This window comes from Homo sapiens, chromosome 1, assembly GCF_000001405.40.
Source record: "Homo sapiens chromosome 1, GRCh38.p14 Primary Assembly".
Taxonomy (NCBI): Eukaryota; Metazoa; Chordata; class Mammalia; order Primates; family Hominidae; genus Homo; species Homo sapiens.
Window position 1 is genome coordinate 203,795,324 of NC_000001.11, and position 21,411 is coordinate 203,816,734.

At 41.2% G+C, this 21,411-nt stretch overlaps 3 protein-coding genes and 1 pseudogene across 46 annotated transcripts in view, besides 2 other annotated features; 3 read left to right on the top strand and 1 right to left on the bottom strand.

Annotated features, from left to right (window-relative positions):
* Positions 1 to 420: an enhancer, noted in NCBI's record as "active region_2357". NCBI's record gives its function as "activates an Ori minimal core promoter by ATAC-STARR-seq in GM12878 lymphoblastoid cells {active_cell/tissue: GM12878}" and the evidence as "EXISTENCE:reporter gene assay evidence [ECO:0000049][PMID:35858748]".
* The window catches only part of ZBED6 (zinc finger BED-type containing 6), a 58,502-nt gene continuing 37,390 nt past the window's right edge, over positions 300 to 21,411 (top strand). Inside the window, exon 1 of one of the 2 annotated variants that reach the window (NM_001395895.1) lies at positions 300 to 7,693. In NM_001395895.1, the coding sequence (NP_001382824.1) occupies positions 2,200 to 5,139 (2,940 nt within the window). In that variant the 5' untranslated portion in view covers positions 300 to 2,199 and the 3' untranslated portion in view covers positions 5,140 to 7,693. Of the gene's footprint in view, positions 7,694 to 21,411 lie in introns of those variants that run through there. The other variant, NM_001174108.2, reaches the window with a different exon arrangement.
* The window catches only part of ZC3H11A (zinc finger CCCH-type containing 11A), a 58,502-nt gene continuing 37,390 nt past the window's right edge, over positions 300 to 21,411 (top strand). For 2 of the 43 annotated variants that reach the window (NM_014827.6, NM_001350266.2), the window contains exons 1-4: positions 300 to 452; positions 970 to 1,173; positions 6,252 to 6,305; positions 7,634 to 7,693. The gene's annotated coding sequence lies outside the window, so the exon portion shown is untranslated. Of the gene's footprint in view, positions 472 to 969; positions 1,285 to 6,251; positions 7,694 to 21,411 lie in introns of all 43 variants that reach the window. The other 41 variants (NM_001376338.1, NM_001376367.1, NM_001376341.1 and 38 more) reach the window with 38 other exon arrangements.
* On the top strand, positions 6,771 to 6,869 carry LOC128031836 (uncharacterized). The gene has a single exon (NM_001414738.1). The coding sequence runs from the start codon at positions 6,771 to 6,773 to the stop codon at positions 6,867 to 6,869; it is 99 nt and encodes a 32-aa protein (NP_001401667.1).
* Positions 7,902 to 8,403: an enhancer, noted in NCBI's record as "H3K4me1 hESC enhancer chr1:203772353-203772854 (GRCh37/hg19 assembly coordinates)". NCBI's record gives its function as "activates a minimal SCP1, AML or CMV promoter by ChIP-STARR-seq in naive H9 embryonic stem cells {active_cell/tissue: H9 hESC(naive)}" and the evidence as "EXISTENCE:reporter gene assay evidence [ECO:0000049][PMID:30033119]".
* Positions 10,109 to 10,969, bottom strand: LOC100420338 (charged multivesicular body protein 5 pseudogene; annotated as a pseudogene).

Consider the following 21,411-nt stretch of genomic DNA (forward strand, 5'->3'; position numbering starts at 1 on the left):
ATTTACTCATTAAGCAAACACTTTGGTAAGAATAAATTGAGCGCTTACTGAATGGCAGTCTCAGTTCCTGCGGCCCTCCCGCTTATTACCTCATTTGATTTAAAAACAAAAACAAAACGTTATGAAAGCCGGCTTCGAGGCATTCCTCTGAAGGGAAGGGACTCCCCGACCCAGCGCCTCCCCCGTCACGTGACCCTGTGACCCGGAGCAGCCATCTTAGGCATCGCCTCATAGAGGAACTACATCTTCCAGAATCCTCGCGCCCTGCGTCGTGCTGGCACTTTTACCGGCCGGGCCTTAGAGCGGAGCCTGTAGCCAGGCGCCATCTTTGACGCTGGCAGTCTTGGTTTTCTGCTAGTGCTGCTGCTGCTGGGAGGACGACGGACGGCAGCGGCCAAGCAAGAAGAAAGACGTGGCAGCAAGCGGGAGTCGGGGATAGTGTCATCGGTTCGGTAAAGTTTCTGTTCTCTGGTAACTAGACCCGTTTTTTTGATTCCCGGGTGGCTTGGGGCCGGGGAGGTGGGGGAGAGGGCGAGGGGAGTGGCAGCGGCCTCCCCTCGCCCCTGGGTCGCGGCCTATCCCGGGAAGTCAGAGCGGATCCTTCAGCTTCGCCGTAACGACCCCTCCCCCCCACCTCCCGGTCGCGGCCCTCGCCGGGGCTGGCTGGGAGCCCCAGGCTCCCGCTCACTTTTCCCATCCTCCCCACCCCCACCCCGTTCACCCCACCCCCACGGCGCCTGCTCCTTTCCCAGCCAACCTTCCTCCCCTCCCCCACATCCGGTGTTCGCTAATCTCGAGGAGCCCGGAGCAGCCCCGAAAACCGACTGTTCCCCCGAATCCCGAAGAGAGAACTGACACTAGATTGCTTTCTTCGGGGCAACAGTTTCTCTAGTTGAGCGGACCCTCACTGCCTAAATCAATCAGACTGAGTGCCGGGCGCTGAATTTACCTACTCTCATTCCTCTCCAGGGTCCCGGTACTTTGGAGCTTGTCTCAAACTCCACATACAGAAAGCCACCGACCTTATTCCGGTATCCTACACCCATTCCCCACTCTCATTACACTCCCACCCCTGGCCCTCAGCGTCGGAGTCAAGAGCAACAGGGACACTTCCGTTCTCCTTGTAGGACTGGTGAAACCGTAATGAAGAACACCCCTAAACTCCCATAATCGGTGCGGATTCCTATGGGGAAGGCCTATATTGTTGACATCTTCCAGGCCTTGGTTCTGGACCTTGAGAAAGAGGCTGTGGAACTAGAGATAGCGATGCTTTTTAGGGTAAATGTATGTAGGTATTGGGGGAAGGGGAGGGATCAATCGAAAAATGGAAGTGGTTTAAAGTTCATATTTCACTTTTTGCTATCTCTATAGCGTACAACTTGTGAGTTACTTACAGGCTGTAAAAGCTTCTCAAGTCTAAAAATATCTGAAAACTAAACTTGAATTAACTCTTAATACAAACAGTACTTTGAAAATGCAGCATTTAACCTTGTTTTAAAATTTTTTTCTCAAAGCATTTTTTTCCAGCCACTCACATTTTAAAAGGTTGTATTACTTTTAGTTAGAACTGAAAGGGCTCAACTAGCATTTGCTGTGACCAGTATGCGGAGTCTGTGTTGGCTTTCCAGAATTGACTTTTTGGGTTGTATTGGCAAATCACAGTCCTAAATGATGAATGTTGAATGATGCACTATGTTTTTGTTTAAATGAGATTTCCTGAAAATAGTTAATTTCAGAATTAAGGGAAATTGATGTCGCTATCATGAGGCATCATAAAAATATGTATTTTACAAGGTGAAGGCATTTCAAGTAGATATAGTTCTTGATGAAGCAGGAAGAACATGGATCTGGGATTTGGAAGACCTGGCTTCTAGCTGCTACTAACCAACTCTGTGACTCTGGGAAAGGGGGACTCAGTTCTTACTTCTGTAACATGAGGACACTGGACTATTTGAATTCAGAACTTAGAAAATTGGAAGGGACCTTAAAGCCCTCTAAGAAAGAGTTCGGGAATGTTCTCCATTGCTGTCAGTTTTCCTCCAAAAATAACCTGGCTTGGAAGTTATTGGTCCAGTGGGAATTTGATTCCCCATAGAAACTGGAGAAAAGGTAATGCAAGTAGAGAGGAACAGCTGTATTTCTGCTTGAGTAATAAACCCACTAACAGATTCTGGTACGAATTGTGGAGACATAAAGAGAATGAGTGTATGTACTCTAAGTGTACCAGTTTCTTCACTCTCTCCTGGCAGAAGATGCAACACTTTTAGTGATTCTGGGATTCTGGGATGTGTTCCTATTAATTCTAATACAGATGAAGAAGATGTGGTAGAGGAAAAGATGGTAGCAGAAGGAGTGAATAAAGAGGCAAAACAGCCTGCTAAAAAGAAAAGAAAGAAGGGTTTGCGAATTAAGGGGAAAAGGCGTCGAAAAAAATTGATTCTTGCCAAAAAGTTTAGTAAGGATTTGGGATCTGGGAGGCCTGTTGCAGATGCCCCTGCTTTGTTAGCTTCCAATGACCCTGAGCAGGATGAAGAAAGTCTTTTTGAGAGCAATATAGAAAAACAGATCTATCTACCTAGTACTAGAGCCAAGACCTCCATTGTGTGGCACTTCTTTCATGTTGACCCCCAGTACACCTGGCGGGCCATTTGTAACCTCTGTGAGAAAAGCGTCAGCAGGGGTAAACCAGGTAGCCATCTTGGTACATCTACTCTTCAACGACATCTGCAAGCAAGGCATTCACCTCATTGGACCAGGGCCAACAAGTTTGGAGTTGCTAGTGGAGAGGAGGACTTTACCTTGGATGTGTCTTTATCTCCCTCTTCTGGAAGCAATGGAAGCTTTGAATATATTCCTACTGATCCATTAGATGATAATAGAATGGGCAAGAAGCATGATAAATCAGCATCTGATGCCCTAAGGGCAGAAAGAGGGAGATTTCTCATCAAAAGTAACATTGTCAAGCATGCTTTAATTCCTGGAACTAGAGCCAAGACATCTGCCGTTTGGAATTTTTTTTACACTGATCCTCAGCACATCTCAAGAGCTGTGTGTAATATATGTAAAAGAAGTGTGAGCCGGGGTAGGCCAGGGTCCCACTTAGGGACTTCAACACTTCAACGACACCTGCAAGCCACACATCCTATCCATTGGGCTGTTGCCAACAAAGACAGTGGTGCTGTTGCAAATGGATTAGATGAAGCTGAGACTGAGAGAAGTGATCTCTTGAGTGATACCTTGCATGGAGAAAAGTCTACAGGCAGCCAAGATTTAACAGCTGAGGACCTTAGTGACTCTGATTCAGATGAACCTATGTTAGAGGTTGAAAACAGATCTGAAAGTCCTATTCCCGTTGCAGAGCAAGGCACTCTGATGCGTGCGCAGGAGAGAGAAACAACATGTTGTGGAAATCCAGTCTCAAGTCACATAAGTCAGGCAATTATCCAAATGATTGTGGAGGATATGCATCCTTACAACTATTTCTCAACCCCAGCCTTTCAGAGGTTCATGCAGATTGTGGCCCCTGATTATAGGTTGCCATCAGAGACTTACTTTTTCACTAAGGCTGTACCTCAGTTATATGATTGTGTCAGAGAAAAAATTTTCTTAACTTTAGAGAATGTTCAAAGCCAAAAGATACACCTGACTGTTGACATATGGACCCATGACCCATCCACTGACTATTTTATTGTGACTGTACACTGGGTTTCTTTGGAAACTGCGTCTTTTCTCAATAATGGCAGGATCCCCGATTTTAGAAAGTGGGCAGTGCTTTGTGTTACAGGTTTGGCTAAAGACTGTTTGATAACCAATATTTTACAAGAATTAAATGACCAGATTGGTCTGTGGCTTTCTCCAAATTTCCTTATCCCTAGCTTCATTGTTTCTGACAATTCCTCTAATGTGGTACATGCAATCAAAGATGGTGGTTTTACCCATGTGCCATGCTTCCTGCATTGTTTAAATATGGTCATTCAGGACTTTTTCTGCGAGCACAAAAGCATTGAGAATATGTTAGTGGCTGCCAGGAAAACTTGTCATCATTTTAGTCATTCGGTCAAGGCCCGTCAGATACTGCAAGAGTTCCAAAATGATCACCAACTTCCATGGAAGAATTTGAAGCAGGACGAAACTGGCCATTGGATTTCTACTTTTTATATGTTAAAATGGCTCTTGGAGCATTGCTACTCAGTTCACCATAGTCTTGGTAGAGCCAGTGGAGTTGTGCTCACCTCCCTTCAGTGGACTCTAATGACTTATGTTTGTGATATTCTTAAGCCATTTGAGGAGGCTACCCAGAAAGTGAGCGTGAAGACCGCAGGATTGAATCAGGTGCTACCCCTAATCCATCATCTACTCCTTTCCCTGCAGAAACTCAGAGAAGATTTTCAAGTCAGAGGTATTACTCAGGCCCTCAATCTGGTGGATAGTTTATCTCTGAAACTTGAAACAGATACCCTACTAAGTGCCATGCTTAAATCCAAGCCCTGTATCTTGGCTACTTTGTTAGATCCTTGCTTTAAAAACAGTTTGGAAGACTTTTTTCCTCAAGGTGCTGATTTAGAAACTTATAAGCAGTTCCTTGCAGAAGAGGTCTGTAATTATATGGAATCTTCACCAGAGATCTGCCAAATTCCAACTTCAGAAGCTTCTTGTCCCTCAGTTACAGTGGGAGCTGATTCATTTACCTCATCTCTAAAAGAAGGCACCTCCAGTTCAGGTTCTGTTGATAGCTCAGCTGTAGACAATGTTGCCCTTGGAAGCAAAAGCTTCATGTTCCCTTCTGCTGTAGCAGTTGTGGATGAGTACTTCAAAGAGAAGTATTCAGAGTTCTCAGGAGGTGATGACCCTTTAATTTACTGGCAGAGGAAGATAAGCATATGGCCGGCTTTGACCCAGGTTGCCATCCAGTATCTAAGTTGCCCCATGTGTAGTTGGCAATCTGAATGTATCTTTACTAAAAATAGCCACTTTCATCCAAAACAGATCATGAGCCTGGACTTTGACAATATAGAACAACTGATGTTTCTGAAAATGAACTTGAAAAATGTTAACTACGATTATTCTACGTTGGTTCTGAGCTGGGATCCTGAGCAGAATGAAGTTGTTCAAAGCAGTGAAAAAGAAATACTGCCTTAATTTCTTTTTCTCCATTTAAAATGGGCAACTTTTTGCTGTGTTACTGTATCTTAATAGCTGTAGTTGTTAAATATAATCATTATCTTTATAAACACATCTGGGGAAACCTGAAATCACACAAGGGCTGAAAATTCCTCAGAGGCAATATAATTTTGATAAAATGAAGATTAAAGATTTCATAGCTATAACTGTGGCGCTAGCACTTGAAAATTTTGCTTATACCAATGAGAGAGAAGATATTTTTAATTAAAAAAAATATAGTGCAGCATTGAAAGGCCTTAGGCTTTCTTCCTGGTAGATTGAACTAGTAATTGGTTTTAAGTAAAACTTCCCCCACCATGGGAAATTTTATTGCTCTGAAATCAACGAAATGAGAAAAAAGTACACTGGCTGGCATTCCTCCTGCCCCTGTTTTTCTGTTTCCTTAAAAACCCTGATGCTTAATTACAACTTGGCAAAAAGAAAACCCGTGAAATTGTTTTATATTTGGAAATTTCTAATTGCCTCCTCATACTGGTCAGCTTTATAATTTCAAATTGTTGAGTGTGATAGTGTTACCCTTTAGAATTGGATCTTATATAAAAGGGAAATATTAGAAAACAATTAGGAAAATATACTTTTAGTCTTTGAAATGCCTGTTTTAACCTTTATAAAATATTATAAAAATAGATTGTGTAGGTACTTTCAAATAATTTATGGGTAAAAACAGACTAAAATGTTTGCAAGAATTGGAAAAGGTTGAATGGGAATTGTAATGAGAGCCCTTTGAACATGCTTGGAAAAACCCAGTAGACATTTCCCAAAGATTGTTTCTGTAATTTTAGGTAATCTTTTTAAAAACATACTTAATGACCCATTATACTGTATTAACTGTGCGGTTGTTTTGGCCACTGAATTCTTAATGAAAACTAAGCAGTCGGTATTTTTATGTGTTAGGAATCATTGGTGAAATGAGTGAATTGATCTCATTTTAAGATCCCTTTCTACTCTGAAAGTATGTTTCTGAGATTGAGTAGGAGGCCAGAAAATGATGACTTTTAGTAAAAGTCTATTAAAAGTTTCAGACTGAATAACTAATGTGAGATCCCAATTTTTCCTTTTTTTCATTTTAGATTTGGGGATATTCCCTGCCCAAAAAATTCCTGGAAAATTGACTAGTATTAAGTGTGAGTAAAAGGTGTCCACTTTTTTTTAAGTTTTGATTTTAGTTTTGTCTTGGATAGTATTTGGCAAGATTTAGCCTAGAAATTATGTAGTATTTATTACATAAGAATCAAAATTGCTTTGTTACTGGGCTGGTTTCAAAGTTTAGAACTCATTTCTATGTATCAAAATCGGGTTTTTTTTGGTTTTGATTTTTTTTTTTTTTAAATTCTTAAATGGTAAATATGCCATTGTGAAATGAAATCTCAACTCCAAAAGTTTACCCTTTTACTAACTGGAGTAAATGTATACTTACAAAGTCTTTAGCTGTAGCCATTAGTAGTAAAGAATTTGGACCTAGGCTGCGTAAGCAAGCCTTTCCAGGGCCACTATTTAATGGCAAACCAGTGATACTGGTGTTGATACAAAATAAGAAATAAATTTTCCCTTAGATAAAGCTTTCTGTGTTTTGACAGTGCCAGTTTAGAATGGCTATAATGCTGCTCTGCCTTCTACAGCTTGCTGCACCACTCTGTAGTTACTCTATTACCATACGTTTCTATCTTTTTTGGTTAAACACTCCCTGATGACGATGATGGATATATATACATACATCCATATTATACATAATGATATATGTGTAAGGATTTACCTTCGTCTTTATTTTGTGGGCTGGGCAAAATTTAGTGTAACAATAACTTCATGATACTTTGGTATAAGAGTAAGTTCTTTATTTTTATAATGAACCCAAATCTAAAGTCTTTTATAGTGCATTTTAAAAGGGGAAACTTATCCAAATGTTATATTTCTATACATTTTTGTGTATATGTGTGTGTGTATAAGCCAGTTAGTATATATCTGTATGTATATTATATACATAAAACACTATATTTTTACATACAAGTATGCTTTTATTATACAGATAATAAAGATGGGGGAAGGTTTCTGTTTTTTTCTTAATAGGTGAAGAAATCTTGAAGACCAGAAATTGGATCTTACTGAAAAACTGATGTTTTTTTGTTTTTTTTTTAAATTATATTGTTCAGCTATGGAAGATGGAGTTTTTTTTCATGATCCTTTAACTCTCAAGTTCATCTTTAAATGAACTCTTTTTTTTTGTTTTTTTTTTGTTTTGTTTTGTTTTGTTTTTGAGGAGATAACTAACCCTAGCTGTCTCCAGTCTGACAAAGGTTATTTGAATGGACTTAATCTCCCAGTAGTTGGGAGATGTTTTAAAAACACATGCTGTGTTTGAATTGTGGCTGAGAGGTTTTCTTGGCAATGTGAGGAGGAAATTTTTTTCTGCCTCATTATTATTAATTCATGGATTGAGTGTTGGTTCGACCTACAGGCGTAATAGATTGGAACTCAGTGAAGACACAGATGTTCCTGTTCAGAGCAACCAGCTAATGTAAGTGGGGAAGCAGGCATTTTTCGCATGAAAGGAGTGAACATTCTTGTCATTTAAGGCATAATTTTCATGGATCAGTAAGAAATTAAAAGGCCATTGTTCAGACATTTTTGCTTGTACATAATTGTTTACAAATTTTTAGTTTTGGGATGGAAACATATTTTTTTCTTTCTTTTCTTTTTTTCTTTTTTGGAGACGGAGTTTTACTCTTGTCCCCTAGGCTGGAGTGCAATGGTGCCATCTTGGCTCACTGCAACCTCCTCCTCCCAGGTTCAAGCAGTTCTCCTGCCTCAGCCTCCTGGGTAGCTGGGATTACAGATGTGCACCACTACACCGGATAATTTTTGTATTATTAGTGGAGATGAAGTTTCACCATCTTGGCCAGGCTGGTCTGGAATTCCTGACCTCAGGTGATCCACCAGCCTCAGCCTCCCAAAGTGCTGGGATTACAGGCATGAGCCACCGCCTCTGGCCCATAGTTTTTCTTTCTTTGTTTTGATAATATATGTACATTGTAAAAAAGGTAAAAACAGCATAGCCAAAGTGAAATCTTCCTGTAATTCCATCTCCTTGGAGAAAAGCACTGGGTTATTTTGTTTCGTTTTGAAACAGGGTCTTGTGCTCTGTCACTGAGGCTGGAGTGCAGTGGCATGATCATAGCTCACTGCAACGTCAAACCCCTGGGCTTAAGAGATCCTATTGCCGAAGCCTCCTGAGTAGCTGGAACTACAGGTGTGCCCCACTGTACCTGGCTACTTTTTAAAACCTTTTGTAGAGATGGAGTTGCTCTGTGTTGCCCAGGCTGTTCTCAAACTCCTGGGTTCAAGCAGTCTTCCTGCCTTGGCCAACCAGTGTTGGGATTACAGGTGTGAGCCACCATGCCTGGCCTCCCATTCCTTTTTAAATAATGATTCTAGATGATTTTATAATCAAGTTCCAGTAATAAACTCTAATTGGGATTTTGACTTGAATTACATTCGATGTGTGCATTATTTTTTGGGGAGAAGTAATTTCTTTAATCCTCTATTTATTCATTATCCAGGTCTTCTGTGCCTTAGTAGTTTCATAGTGTTTTGGTTTTGTTTTTAATTTAATGTGGGTCTTGCATACTTCTTCATTTTCTTCCTGTATATGTGTTTTTTTTTTTTTTTTTGAGACAGAGTCTCGCTCTGTCGCCCAGGCTGGAGTGCAGTGGCGTGATCTCGATTCACTGCAAACTCCGCCTCCCGGGTTCACGCCATTCTCCTGCCTCAGCCTCCCGAGTAGCTGGGACTACAGGCACCCGCCACCTCGCCTGGCTAACTTTTTTGTATTTTTAGTAGAGACGGGGTTTCACCGTGTTAGACAGGATGGTCTCCATCTCCTGACCTCGTGATCCGCCCGCCTCGGCCTCCCAAAGTGCTAGGATTACAAGCATGAGCCACCACGCCCGGCCCTTCCTGTATATCTTTTTATTGTGAATGGTCTCTTCCTGTATATCTTTTTACTGTGAGTGGTACTCTGCCATCATCTGAATGATTATTGCTGGTATGAAGGAAATTTACTGCTTCTTGTAGATCTTACATTTTTATTATTTTCAATTTGTTTTAGTTGATAGATTTTCTAGTTTGCAAGCATGTAATCTGCAGGTTCTGGATTTTTTTCTTTTTTGCCTCATCTTTTTTTTTTTTTTTGATATGGAGTATTGCTCTCGTTGCCTAGGCTGGAGTGCAATGGTGCTGTCTTGGCTCATTGCAACCTCTGCCTTCCAGGTTCAAGTGATTCTTCTGTCTCAGCCTCCCAAGTAGCTGAGATTACAGGCGCATGCCACCATGCCCGGCTGATTTTTGTATTTTTAGTAGAGATGGGGTTTCATCATATTGGCCAGGCTGGTCTCAAACTCCTGACCTCAGGTGATCTGCCCAACTCGGCCTCCTAAAGTGCTGGGATTACAGGCGTGAGCTATTGTGCCCGGCCTGTCTCGTCTTTTTAATATATGTTTGTAATTTATGCCTTTTTTTCCTTTTGAAAAAATTGAGTAAATAAATGTCCTATTCATCAAATATCAAGAAATATTCATTATTGATTTCAAGATGTAGTATTAAGGAAACCACAGAATCAAAATACCCACTTCTGATACAGTAGTGATTTTTTTTTTTTTTTTTGAGACAGAGTCTTGCTCTGTCGCCCAGGCTGTGGGGTGATCTTGGCTCACTGGACCTCCGCCTCCTGGGTTCAAGCAATTCTCCTGCTTCAGTCTCCCGAGAGTAGGACTACAGGCGCCCGCCACCACACCCGGCTAATTTTTTGTATTTTTAGTAGAGATGGGGTTTCACCATGTTGGCCAGGCTGGTCTCGAACTTCTGACCTTGTGATCTGCCTGCCTCAGCCTTTCAAAGTGCTGGGATTACAGGTGTGAGCCACCGCGCCCTGCCAGAATCAAGTTTTAGTACAAAGAAAGCATTTCCCAAGCAATGAGTCTCAAAGGAAAAAAATAGAAGAGCAATGTAATTAAACTTTCCTTCAAAGAAAGGACAGAAACGTATCTGTTACGGTAAATTTGGAAAGATCAGTATTTCATAGTCCCATAATATGTTTTACATGATGTACTTAAATGCAAATGTATGAAGCAGGGATCTGTGGCAATCCAAATTCATCCACCAGAACTCCATCCTTGTTTTTGTGACAGTGGGAACACCTTCTGGAATTGCAGGTGCAGATGCTGGCTCATCTAAATAGAACTCTTGGTCAGCCACAAGCTCATCACCCAGTGTATCCAACTCTGCTTCTAGGTTGTCTTCATCTAATTCTGGGCCGCCATAACTGCGACTCAGTGCTTCTTGGATTTCATTTGCATCTTCCATCATGTCCACTAGCTGGTCTTGTAAATTCTCAATCTGGTCAGTTTTCACTTGCTTGTCTACCTTCATTTCCTTTGCTCCCAGTTTCATAGCATCAACCGTGGTCTTGGTATCCTTCAATGACTGGATGGTGTAATTAACTTGTTTCATGTTGAATGACTCTTGGGTGCGATTGTCCTGCTGCTGCTCATACATCCGCTTTTGTTTTAAAACTCGCAAGGCTTTCTGCGTAATCATATTCTTTGTAGGACCCCCTCTCATCTTGATCTGGTCCTTATACTTCACTAGCTCAGCATCCAATCTAGAAATCTTGTCAGTGGATTCTGCCCTGCTGTCCACCATGCCAATGCAGTCATTCAGGCTGGGCAGCGGAGCCTTAATTTCACTTTCCTGAAGAATCAGTTTATCTTGAGTGGCTGTAAAGGAACCCATACACCTTTTTTTCTTTTTCCTTTTTTTTTTTGAGACGGAGTCTCGCTCTGTCACTAGGCTGGAGTTCAAGTGGCATAATCTTGGCTCACTGCAGCCTCTGCCTTCCGGGTTCAAGCGATTCTCCTGCCTCAGCCTGCTGAGTAGCTGGGATTATAGGCATCTGCCATCATGCCCGGCTAATTTTTGTATTTTTTAATAGAGATTAGGTTTCACCATGTTGGCCAGGCTGGTCTTGAGCTCCTGGACTCAAGTGATCAGCCCACCTAGGCCTCCCAAAGTGCTGGGATTATAGGCATGAGCCACCGTGCCCGGCCTAACACCTTTTTTTCTTAATGCATATACTAGAACATCTGGAACAGTGTTGAAAGATGGTGAAGACTGTTGAATGGGTGTCCTTTTTTCGCTTATCTTGAGTTAGTTTACCTCTAGTGTTTTACCATATTGCATATGCTGATGATTTCTGGTGATTATGTGCATTTATGCTAGGAAGTACCTTACAATTTACCAAGTTTTTGTTGAGTGGATATTGCACCTCAGGTTCCTTTTTTTTTTTTTTTTTGCTATTTTACTTGATAAAGACTACTTCAAGTACTTTTCTTCACTTTTTAACCATTTTTTCTTTTTTGAAGTCTTTCAAAAATTACTACAGGATTTTTTTTGTTTTTTACCCCTTTTACTCTAGTAAATATAATGAGTTTCCTAATGTTAACCCATTCCTAGTCCCAGAATAAACCTTTTTGATTATGTAGTGTTATTTATTTTATTTCAATTTTTATTTAGAGATGGGGTCTCATTGTGTTGCCCAGGCTGGTCTCAAACTCCTAGCCTCAAGTCAGTAATCCTCCCAAAGCTCCGGGATTACAGGCATGAGCTACCATTCCTGACCATGTTACTATTTTAATATACAGCTGGTTCAATTTGCTAATGCTTTATTTAGGATTTTTTATCTGTGTCATAAATCAGATGTCCAAAGCAGCTGTTTTAAACATTTTTAAAATTTTTATTTATTTATTTAGAGACAGTGTCTTGCTCTTTTGCCCAGGTTGGAATACAGTGATGTGATCATAGCTCAGTGCAACCTCAAACTCCTGGGCTCAAGGCTTCCTCCAGCGTCAGCCCCCTGAGTAGCTGGGATTACAAATGTGACTCACTATGCCTGGCTATTGGTAAAAATATTATGACTGTTTTTTGGGTTTGTAATATATGTGACACAAAGTTTTGTTTTGTCTTACTGTTTTTTTTTTGTTGGTTTTTTAGAGATAGAGTCTCGCTCTGCCTCCCAGGCTGGAGTGCAGTGATGTGATCATAGCTCACTGCAGTCTCAAACTCCTGGGCTCAAGTGATCCTTCCAGCTCAGCCTCCCAAGTAGCTAGGACCACAGATGTATGGACCATGCCCAGCTAAATTTTTTTTTCTTTTGGGAGAGAGACATGGTCTCACTATGTTGCCCAGGCTTATTTATTTATTTTTTGAGAGAGGGTCTTGCTCTGTTGCGCAGACCAGAGTGCAGTGGGGCAGTCACGGCTCACTGCAGCCTCGACCTCTTGGGCTCAAGCAATCCTTCTGCCTCAGCGTCCCAAGTAGCTGGGAGTAAAGACATGTGCCACCATACCTGGCTAATTTTTTAATTTAGTGTAGAAACTAGGTCTCATTATGTTGCCCAGGCTGGTCTTGAACTCCTGGGTTCAAGCAGTCCTCCTGTCTCGGCCTCTCAAAGTGCTGGCATTACGGATGTGAGCCACCATGCCTGGCCTGTTTTGTTTTTTTTCTACTTTTATTGAGTACTTTTTTGTAAGTTCTTTTTCTTAAGTTAGAATATTTTCTTGAGTATTTTTCAAAAGTATAAGTACATAGGTGATATACTTTTTGAGAATTTTTGTATCTAAAAACTTCTAAGTTCTGAGCTATTTGTGAAATGTAGTTTGAAATTCTAAACTTAAAGGTCATAATCTCCTTTACATTCTGGATGAATAGCATTTTGTCTTTTGGCATTTAGAGATTCAGATGAGAAGTCTAATAATGTCAAGTCTGATTTTCTTTCCTTTGTTGTCAATCTGATTTTTCCTGAAAGTTTGTATGATTTTGTCTTTACCATTGGAATTCAAAAATTTTACCATGTCTGTGTATAGCAGAGATGTCTTTAAAGAAAAGTTCTGCCTGGCATTTGATGATCCCCTTTAATGTAAAGACTCAAGTCCATCAAATTTAAGGAAATGTTCTTATATTGTTTCTTTCATAATCTCTACAAATTCCATTCCTTTTTAGGATTTCTATTTATAGAAATTGAGTTTTCTGGAATTATTTTCATTTCATATACAATTTCCCTCTTAGTGACATATGTTGGCATTTTTGGTTTGGATTCGTGGAGATGTCGTGTCAGTAATCTCTTGTAATTCAGTTATTATGTTTTTCATCAGTGTTTATTCTGTTCTTTCCTCTACTGAAATCTATTTTTGAAGGTAGGGGCTGGAAATTAGAGTCTTCATCTTCGTCGTCGTCATCGCCATCTTCTTCTTTTTTTTCTTCATTATTATCATTATTTTATATATTTATTTTCTTGAGAAGGCGTTTTTCTGTTGTTGCCCAGGATGGAGTGCAATGGCACAATCTTGGCTCACTGCAACCTCCACCTCCCGGGTTCAGGTGATTCTCCTGCCTCAGCCTCCCAAGTAGCTGGGATTACAGGCATTCGCCACCACGCCCAGCTAATTTTGTATTTTTAGTAGAGACAGGATTTCACCATGTTGGTCAAGCTGGTCTCGAACTCCTGACCTCAGGTGATCCACCTGTCTCGGCCTCCCAAAGTGCTAGGATTACAGGCATGAGCCACCACACCCAGCCTGAGTTTTCTTATTATTTTTGAAGCTTTGTTTTCTTCTCACTGTTTTTTTTTTTTTTTTTTTTTGAGATGGAGTCTTGCTTTGTCTCCCAGGCTGGAGTGCAGTGGCATGATCTTGGCTCACTGCAACCTCCGCCTCCAGGGTTCAAGCGATTCTTCTGCCTCAGCCTCCCGAGTAACTGGGACAACAGGCGCACACTACCGTGCCCGGCTAATTTTTTATATTTTTAGTAGAGGCGGTGTTTCACCATATTGGCCAGGCTGGTCTCAAACTCCTGACCTCGTGATCCGCCCATCTCCGAAATCCCAGGTTGCTGGGATTACAGGCCTGAGCCACCGCACCCAGCCCCACTCTTTTTTCATAGTGGTATGTTCATTTGTAGCAATGCTATATCCTTTAAAACTTGCTGAGAGCATGAAGATTTTAAAATAATATGTCCTTTTTCCTACATTAACTTCTAGAGAGTGGGTTGAGAAAGGTCCCATTATTTTTCTTGGCTTCATATTTTCAAACGGTTATTTTCTGTTGAAAAGTAACCAGGTTAACCGGGTGCGGTGGCTCACGGCTGTAATCCTAGCACTTTGTGAGGCTGAGATGGGCAGATCACTTGAGGTCAGGAGTTCGAGACCAATCTGGCCAACATGGTGAAACCCCGTCTCTACTAAAAATACAAAAATTAGCCAGGCATGGTGGCAGGCGCCTGTAATTCCAGCTACTCGGGAGGGTGAGGCAGGAGAATTGCTTGAACCCAGGAGGTGGAGGTTGCAGTAAGTCAAGATCACGCAACTGCACTCCAGGTTTGGGCAACAGAGCGAGACTCTCTCAAAAATAACAAAACTAAACAAAAAAAAGTAACTGGGTTTTTCTTGGCAACCTAGATACTTTTTTTTTCCTTTTAAACTTAAGAAATTTATGGATGTGCATCTTTGTTTTGTGTTTTTGCATGGGATAGTATTGATTATAAAGTCATTGGAGCATCATTTAAAAGCTGGAGTGGTGTTTTTTTTGTTTTTGTTTTTTGTTTTTTTTTTAAGAGATGAGGTCTGTCTGTTGCCCAGGCTGTTCTTGAACTCCTGGTCTCAAGTGATCCTCTTGCCTTGGTCTCTCAAAGTGTTAGGATTATAGGCATGAGCCACTGCACCTGGCCTTGCCGTTTTCTTGAATGGCAATTATATTTGTTTTTATCCTAGTGAAAGTTACAGAAGCTTAGTGTATAAAGATGATATATAAAGAAACTTTTCTTTTTTTCTTTATCTCTTATTTCCTTTTTCTTGTTTTACATTGTAGCTGTTAGGTTTTTTTTTTTTTTGAGACAGAGTCTCACTCTGTCGCCCAGGCTAGAGTGCAGTGGCGCGATCTCAGCTCACTGCAACCTGCACCTCTGGGGTTCACACCATTCTCCTGCCTCAGCCTCCAGAGTAGCTGGGACCACAGGCGCCCACCACCACGCCCAGCTAATTTTTTGTATTTTTAGTAGAGATGGGGTTTCACAGTGTCAGCCAGGATGGTCTCGATCTCCTGACCTCGTGATCCACCCGCCTCGGACTCCCAAAATGCTGGGAATACAGGCGTGAGCCACCGCGCCCGGCCAGCTCTTAGATCTGACGAAGGAGTTTTTTCTGTTGAAACATTAGTAAGGGAGTGTTATCTACTCAGGATTCCATTTCTCCACACTCTGCCCAACTTTGAGGGCTCTTTGCAGAAAATGATTTGAAAATTAGTTGTGGGCCAGACGCTCACGCCTGTAATCCCAGCACTTTGAGAGGTTGAGGCGGGCAGATGACCTGAGGTCAGGAGTTTCACACCAGCCTGGCCACTATGGTGAAACTCCATCTCTACTAAAAATACAAAAAAAAAAAAAAATTAGCAGGGTATGGTGGTAGGCGCCTGTAATCCCAGTTACTTGGGAGGCTGAGGCAAGAGAATCGCTTGAAACCAGAAGGTGGAGGTTGCAATGAGCCGAGATTGCGCCACTGCACTCCAGCAGCCTGGGTAGAAGAGTGAAACTCTGTCACAAAAAAAAAAAAAAAAAAGCCAAGTGTGGTGGTGGGCACCTGTAATTCCAGCTACTTGGGAGGCTGAGGCAGGCGACTCACTTGAACCCAGGAGGTGGAGGTTGCAGTCAGCTGAGGTCGTGCCATTGCACTTCAGCCTGGGCAACAAGAGCAAAACTCGAAACTCCGTCTCCAGATAAATAAATAAATAAAATTAGTTGCCAAAAAATTGTAAATTCTGCTGTGTCTTTGCATTTCATAGCTACCATTTCATTGTTTCAATTACTTTGTTGCTGGTCTTTCTAAAACCGGTAACAGTTTCAAATATGTTCTTTGGAATATTGATTTTGTGAGTGAGATTGACCTCTAAGCCTTTTATTCCCCTTAAAAACTTTTTTTTTCTGGAGGCAGAATCTTGCTCTGTTGCCTAGTCTGGAGTGCAGTGGCAAGATTGTGGCTCACTGCAACCTCTGCCCCCTGGATTCAAGCGATTCTTGTACATTAGCCTCCCGAGTAGCTGAGACTACAGTTGTGGGCTACCACGCCTGGCTAATTTTTTGTATTTTCAGTAGAGATGGGATTTTGCCATGTTGGCCAGGCTGGTCTTGAACTCTTGACCTCAAATGACTTTTTTTATTATTAAACTTTTTCCTTTGTTGCATATATGTCTGAAAAGTATTCAGATAGCTTTGTCTTTTTCTTTTTTTTTTTTTTTAGACAGGTCTCACTGTCACCCAGGCTGGAGTGCAGTAGTGTGATCTTGGTTCACTGCAACCTCCACCTCCTGTGTTCAAGTGATTCTCACACCTCAGCCTCCTGAGTAGCTGGGACTATAGATGTGTGCCACCATGCTTGGCTAATTTTTATATTTTTTGATAGAGACGAGGTTTCACCATGTTGGCCAGGCTGGTCTTGAACTACTGACCTCAAGTGATCCACCCACCTCGGCCTCCCAAAGTGCTGGGATTACATGTATGAGTCACCACACTGGGCCTTAACTTTCATTTTAAATTCAGGGGTACATGTGCAGGATGTGCAGGTTTGTTACACAGGTAAATGTGTGTCGTGGGGGTTTGTTGTACAGATTATTTCATCACCCAGGTATTAAGCCTAGTATCTATTAGTTGTTTTTCCTGATCCTCTCCCTCCTCCCACCTTCTACCTTCTGATAGGCTCCAGTGTTTGTTGTTCCCCTCTATGTGTCCAAGTGTTCTCAGCATTTAGCTCCCACTTATAAGTGAGAACATGCTGTATTTGGTTTCCTGTTTCTGCATTAGTTTGCTAAGGATAATAGCCTCTGGCTCCATTCATGTCCCTGCAAAGGACATGATTTTGTTCCTTTTTATTGGATGCATACTATTCCATGTTTTGTGTTTTTTTCAGACTTCTGTCTTGTTGCTTCCCATCCTCACCAGCATTTAGTGCTTTCAGTATTTTGGATTTTAGCCATTCTAAATTTTTTTTTTTTTTTTTTTTTGAGACGGAGTCTCACTCTGTTGCCCAGGCTGGAGTATAGTGGCATGATCTCGGCTCACTGCAGCCTCTGCCTCCTAGGTTCAAACGATTCTCCTGTTTTTGCCTCCTGAGTAGCTGGGATTACAGGTGTGTGCTACCACGGCCAGCTAATTTTTGTATTTTTAGTAGAGATGGGGTCTCACCATGTTTGCCAAGCTCGTCTTGAACTCCTGACCTCAGATGACCCACCTGCCTCGGCCTCCCAAAGTGCTGGGATTACAAGTGTGAGCCACTGTGCCCAAATGGATTTTAGCCATTAGAAAAGGAATTTGCAATCCCTAATGATGCATGATGTTGGGCAAGATTTCAAATGCTTATTTTCCATCTGTATACCTTCTTTGGTGAGGTACCTGTTCAGATCTTTTGCCTTTTTGAATTGGGGAGTTGTTTTCTTATTTTTGAGTTTCAAGAGTTATATATTTTGTATATCAGACCTTATCAGTTATGTTTTGCAAATATTTTCTCCCAGCCTGTGGCTTTTTCATTCTTTCTTAAGCTTCTTAACAGAGCTTTCACAGAGCAGACCTTTTTAATTTTAATGAACTCCAATTTAATGTTTTTTTGTTTTTTGTTTTTTGTTTTTTTTTGGATGGAGTTTTGCTCTTGTTGCCTAGGCTGGAGTGCAGTGGTGTGATCTCAGCTCACTGCAACCTCCGCCTCCCAGGTTCAAGCAATTCTCTTGCCTCAGCCTCCTCAGTAGCTGGGATCACAGGCATTCACCACCATGCCTGGCTAAATTTTAATGGTTTTTATTGAAAACCAATTTATTGGTTTTCTTTTGTATTTAAGTTGTTATCCATGTTATTTTTTGTGAAAAGTATAAAGTCTGTGTCTAAAATTATTTTTTTATATGTGGATATCCATTTGTTCCAGTAACATATGTTGAAAAGACTATCCTTTTCCCCTTTGTCAAAGGTCATTTGACTATGCTTGTTATCTGTATTAGTTCCTAGGACTTCCATAACAAAGTATCACAAACTGGGTAGCTACAGAAGTTTGTTGTCTCACAATTCTGAAGGTGAGATGTCTAAAATGTTTTCAGCAGGGCCATTCTCCCTCTGAAGCCTGTAGAGGAATGATCCTTACCCATTCTGGCTTCTGGTGTTTGTTGGCAATCCTTGGCATTCCTTGGTTTGTAGATGCATCACTCCAGCCACATGGTCATCTTCTCCTTGTGTGTCTTCTCATCACATTCCCTCTGTACATGTCTGTCTCTTTCATTTTAAGCTGGCAACATTTTTTGCTAAGATGGTTGCCTGAATCTAGTCACACACCTAATCTCCAACAAACTGTTGCCCACCCATACCCTTTTCTCTACAGAGCATACATTCTTGTTTTTTTTTTTTGCAATATGGATAGAGTGAGAATTTTCTAAATTTTCAAGTTCAGATTCTTTATTCCTTTTTGCTTCATAGTTCTTGCCTCAATATGTCTCTCTCCTTGCATTTCACTGTAAGCAGCAGGAAAAGCCCAGGCTGTTCCTTCCACACTTTGCTTAGAAATCTCCTCAGCTAAAACCCAAGTTCATTGCTTCCAGGTTCTGCCTTCTGCCCAACACAACCCAATTCTAAGTTCTCTGCCACTTTTTAACAGGAATAACCTTTCCGGCCAGGCGCTGGCTCACACCTGTAATCCCAGCACTTTGGGAGGCTGAGGTGGGAGGATCATCTGAGGTCAGAAGTTCAAGACCAGCCTGGCCAACATGGCGAAACCCTGTCTCTACTAAAAATACAAAAATTAGCCATATGTGGTGGTGCAAGCCTGTAATTCCAGCTACTTGGGAGACTGAGGCGGGAGAATTGCTTGAACCTGGGAGGCAGAGGTTGCAGTGAGCCAAGATGGCACCATTGCATTCCAGCCTGGGTGACAGAGCAAGACTCCATCTCAAAGAAAAAAAAAAGAATAACCTTTCCTCCAGTTTCCAATAACACGATCCTAATTTCTGACTGAAACCTCACCATAAGTACCTTAAGTACCTTTAACGTTCATATGCTTTAGCAGCAGTTTCTTCTAGGCCTTTTCTATCAAGTACCTCAAAAGTCTTCCAGCCTCCACCTATGACCCAATAACAAAGCTGCTTACATATTTTTAGATTTTTTTGTTTTTGGTTTTTTACAGCAGCATTCACTTTCTGGTATGAAACTCTAATGGCTGTATATTGTCACATTACATGAATATACCGTAATTTTTTTAAATCATTTGTTTATTTTTGAGATAGAGTCTCACTCTGTTGTCCAGGATGGAGTGCAGTGCATGATCTCGGCTCACTGCAACCTCCACCTCCCGGGTTCAAGAAGTTTCCCTACCTTAGGCTCCTGAGTAGCTGGGACTACAGGTGTGTGCCACCACACCTGGGTAATTTTTGTATTTTTAGTAGAGATGGGGTTTCGCCATGTTGTCCAGGCTGTTCTCAAACTCCTGACCTCAAGTGATCCACCAGCTTCCACCTCCCAAAGTGCTGGGATTACAGGCATGAGCCACCGTGCCTGGCCATATATCATAATTTTTAAAAATAGTCTCCAGTTTTTGAACAGTTAGGTTTCTAGATGTTATTTCATTATTTTCTTCCTTTTCTTTTCTTTTTTTTTTTTTTTTGAGACAGTGTCTCGCTCTGTTGCCCAAGCTGGAGTGCAGTGGCGCAATGTCAGCTCACTGCAACCTCTGCCTCCTGGGTTCAAGTGATTCTTGTGCCTCAGCTCCCCCGTGTAGCTGGGATCACAGGAGTGTGCCACCACACCCAGCTTTTTTTTTTTTTTTTTTTTTAAGAGATGGGGTTTTGCCATGTTGTCCAGGCTGGTCTCGAACTCCTGGACTCAAGCGATCTGCCCACCTTGGCCTCCCAGAGTGCTGGGATTATAGGTATGAGCCACTGCACCCGGCCTATTTCATTATTAAAACAAGATTGTGATAACATTTATTGTGCATTGTTACCTTTAATACTTTTACATATTATAATACATTCTAGAAATGGAATTGTCGAAGGGTATGTAAACTTTAAACATTTGGGTACATGTTTAGTACCCATGTTCAGTGTCAGACTCTTAATCCAGGTTGTTAACATCAAGGTGACTTTTCATCATGGCATACCATTCTTGCATTAGGAATTATTAGTGGGAGATATGACTGAATTTGATTTAATTGATTTCAAGTTGTAGATCACTATTTCTGAAACCTGATCTTCTGGTATGTACGTTTGTGGAAACCCTTTCCATATTCTCGTATGTGCTTTTGTTATATGCTTTTGTAGAAGCTTGCTTGGACGTTTTAGTGTGGAGATCAGGGTATGCCATGGACTAGGGGAGAAAATATTTGTTGTTTTGTGGAATCACTATTATGGAAAGCCCCAAAGACTACTTTTGCGTCTTGTTTGTAATTGGTGTACACCTCTAGTCGTCTTCATTAACGTAAGCTAGATCGATAGACCTTTTCAGAAGTAATTGTTTTCATCAGTTATTCTAGCTAAACAGGGTTTTCTCACCTAGTTATGATTATATACTTTTGGAATAAAAATGCTTGTGAAAATATTTGAAGTTTTTCATTTAGATGAAACATTCTACTTTATCATATTTTGTTAGCAAGTATTTTGTGTTAGTAACCTAAGTCCCATTAATAATCTAAAATGTATGTAGTCTTTTGAGACTTTCAAATTAGTAGGCAAAAATACATATATACATACATATATACATATATGTATAATGTAGATCAGGCTGGGCGGGATGGCTCACACCTATAATCCCAGCATTTTGGGAGGCCAAGTGAGGAGGATTGCTTGAGGCAGGAGTTCAAGACCAGACTGAACAACATAGCAAGATCCTGTCTTTACAAAAATTTTTTTTAAAAAATTAGCTGGGTATAGTGGTATGTGCCTGTAGTCCTGGATACTTGGGGGAGGCTGAGGTGGGAGAATCCCTTGAGCCCAGGAGTTCAGTGTTGCTGTGAGCTGTGATCACATCATTGCACTCCAGCCTGGGCAACAGAGTGAGACACTGTCTCTAAAAAGAGTTAAAAATAAAATGTAGATCTTTAGTTAACAATGCTTATTTACAATGCTGTAACTGTGTAACAAGCATCACAGAGAATATAAAAGAAGGGCATGG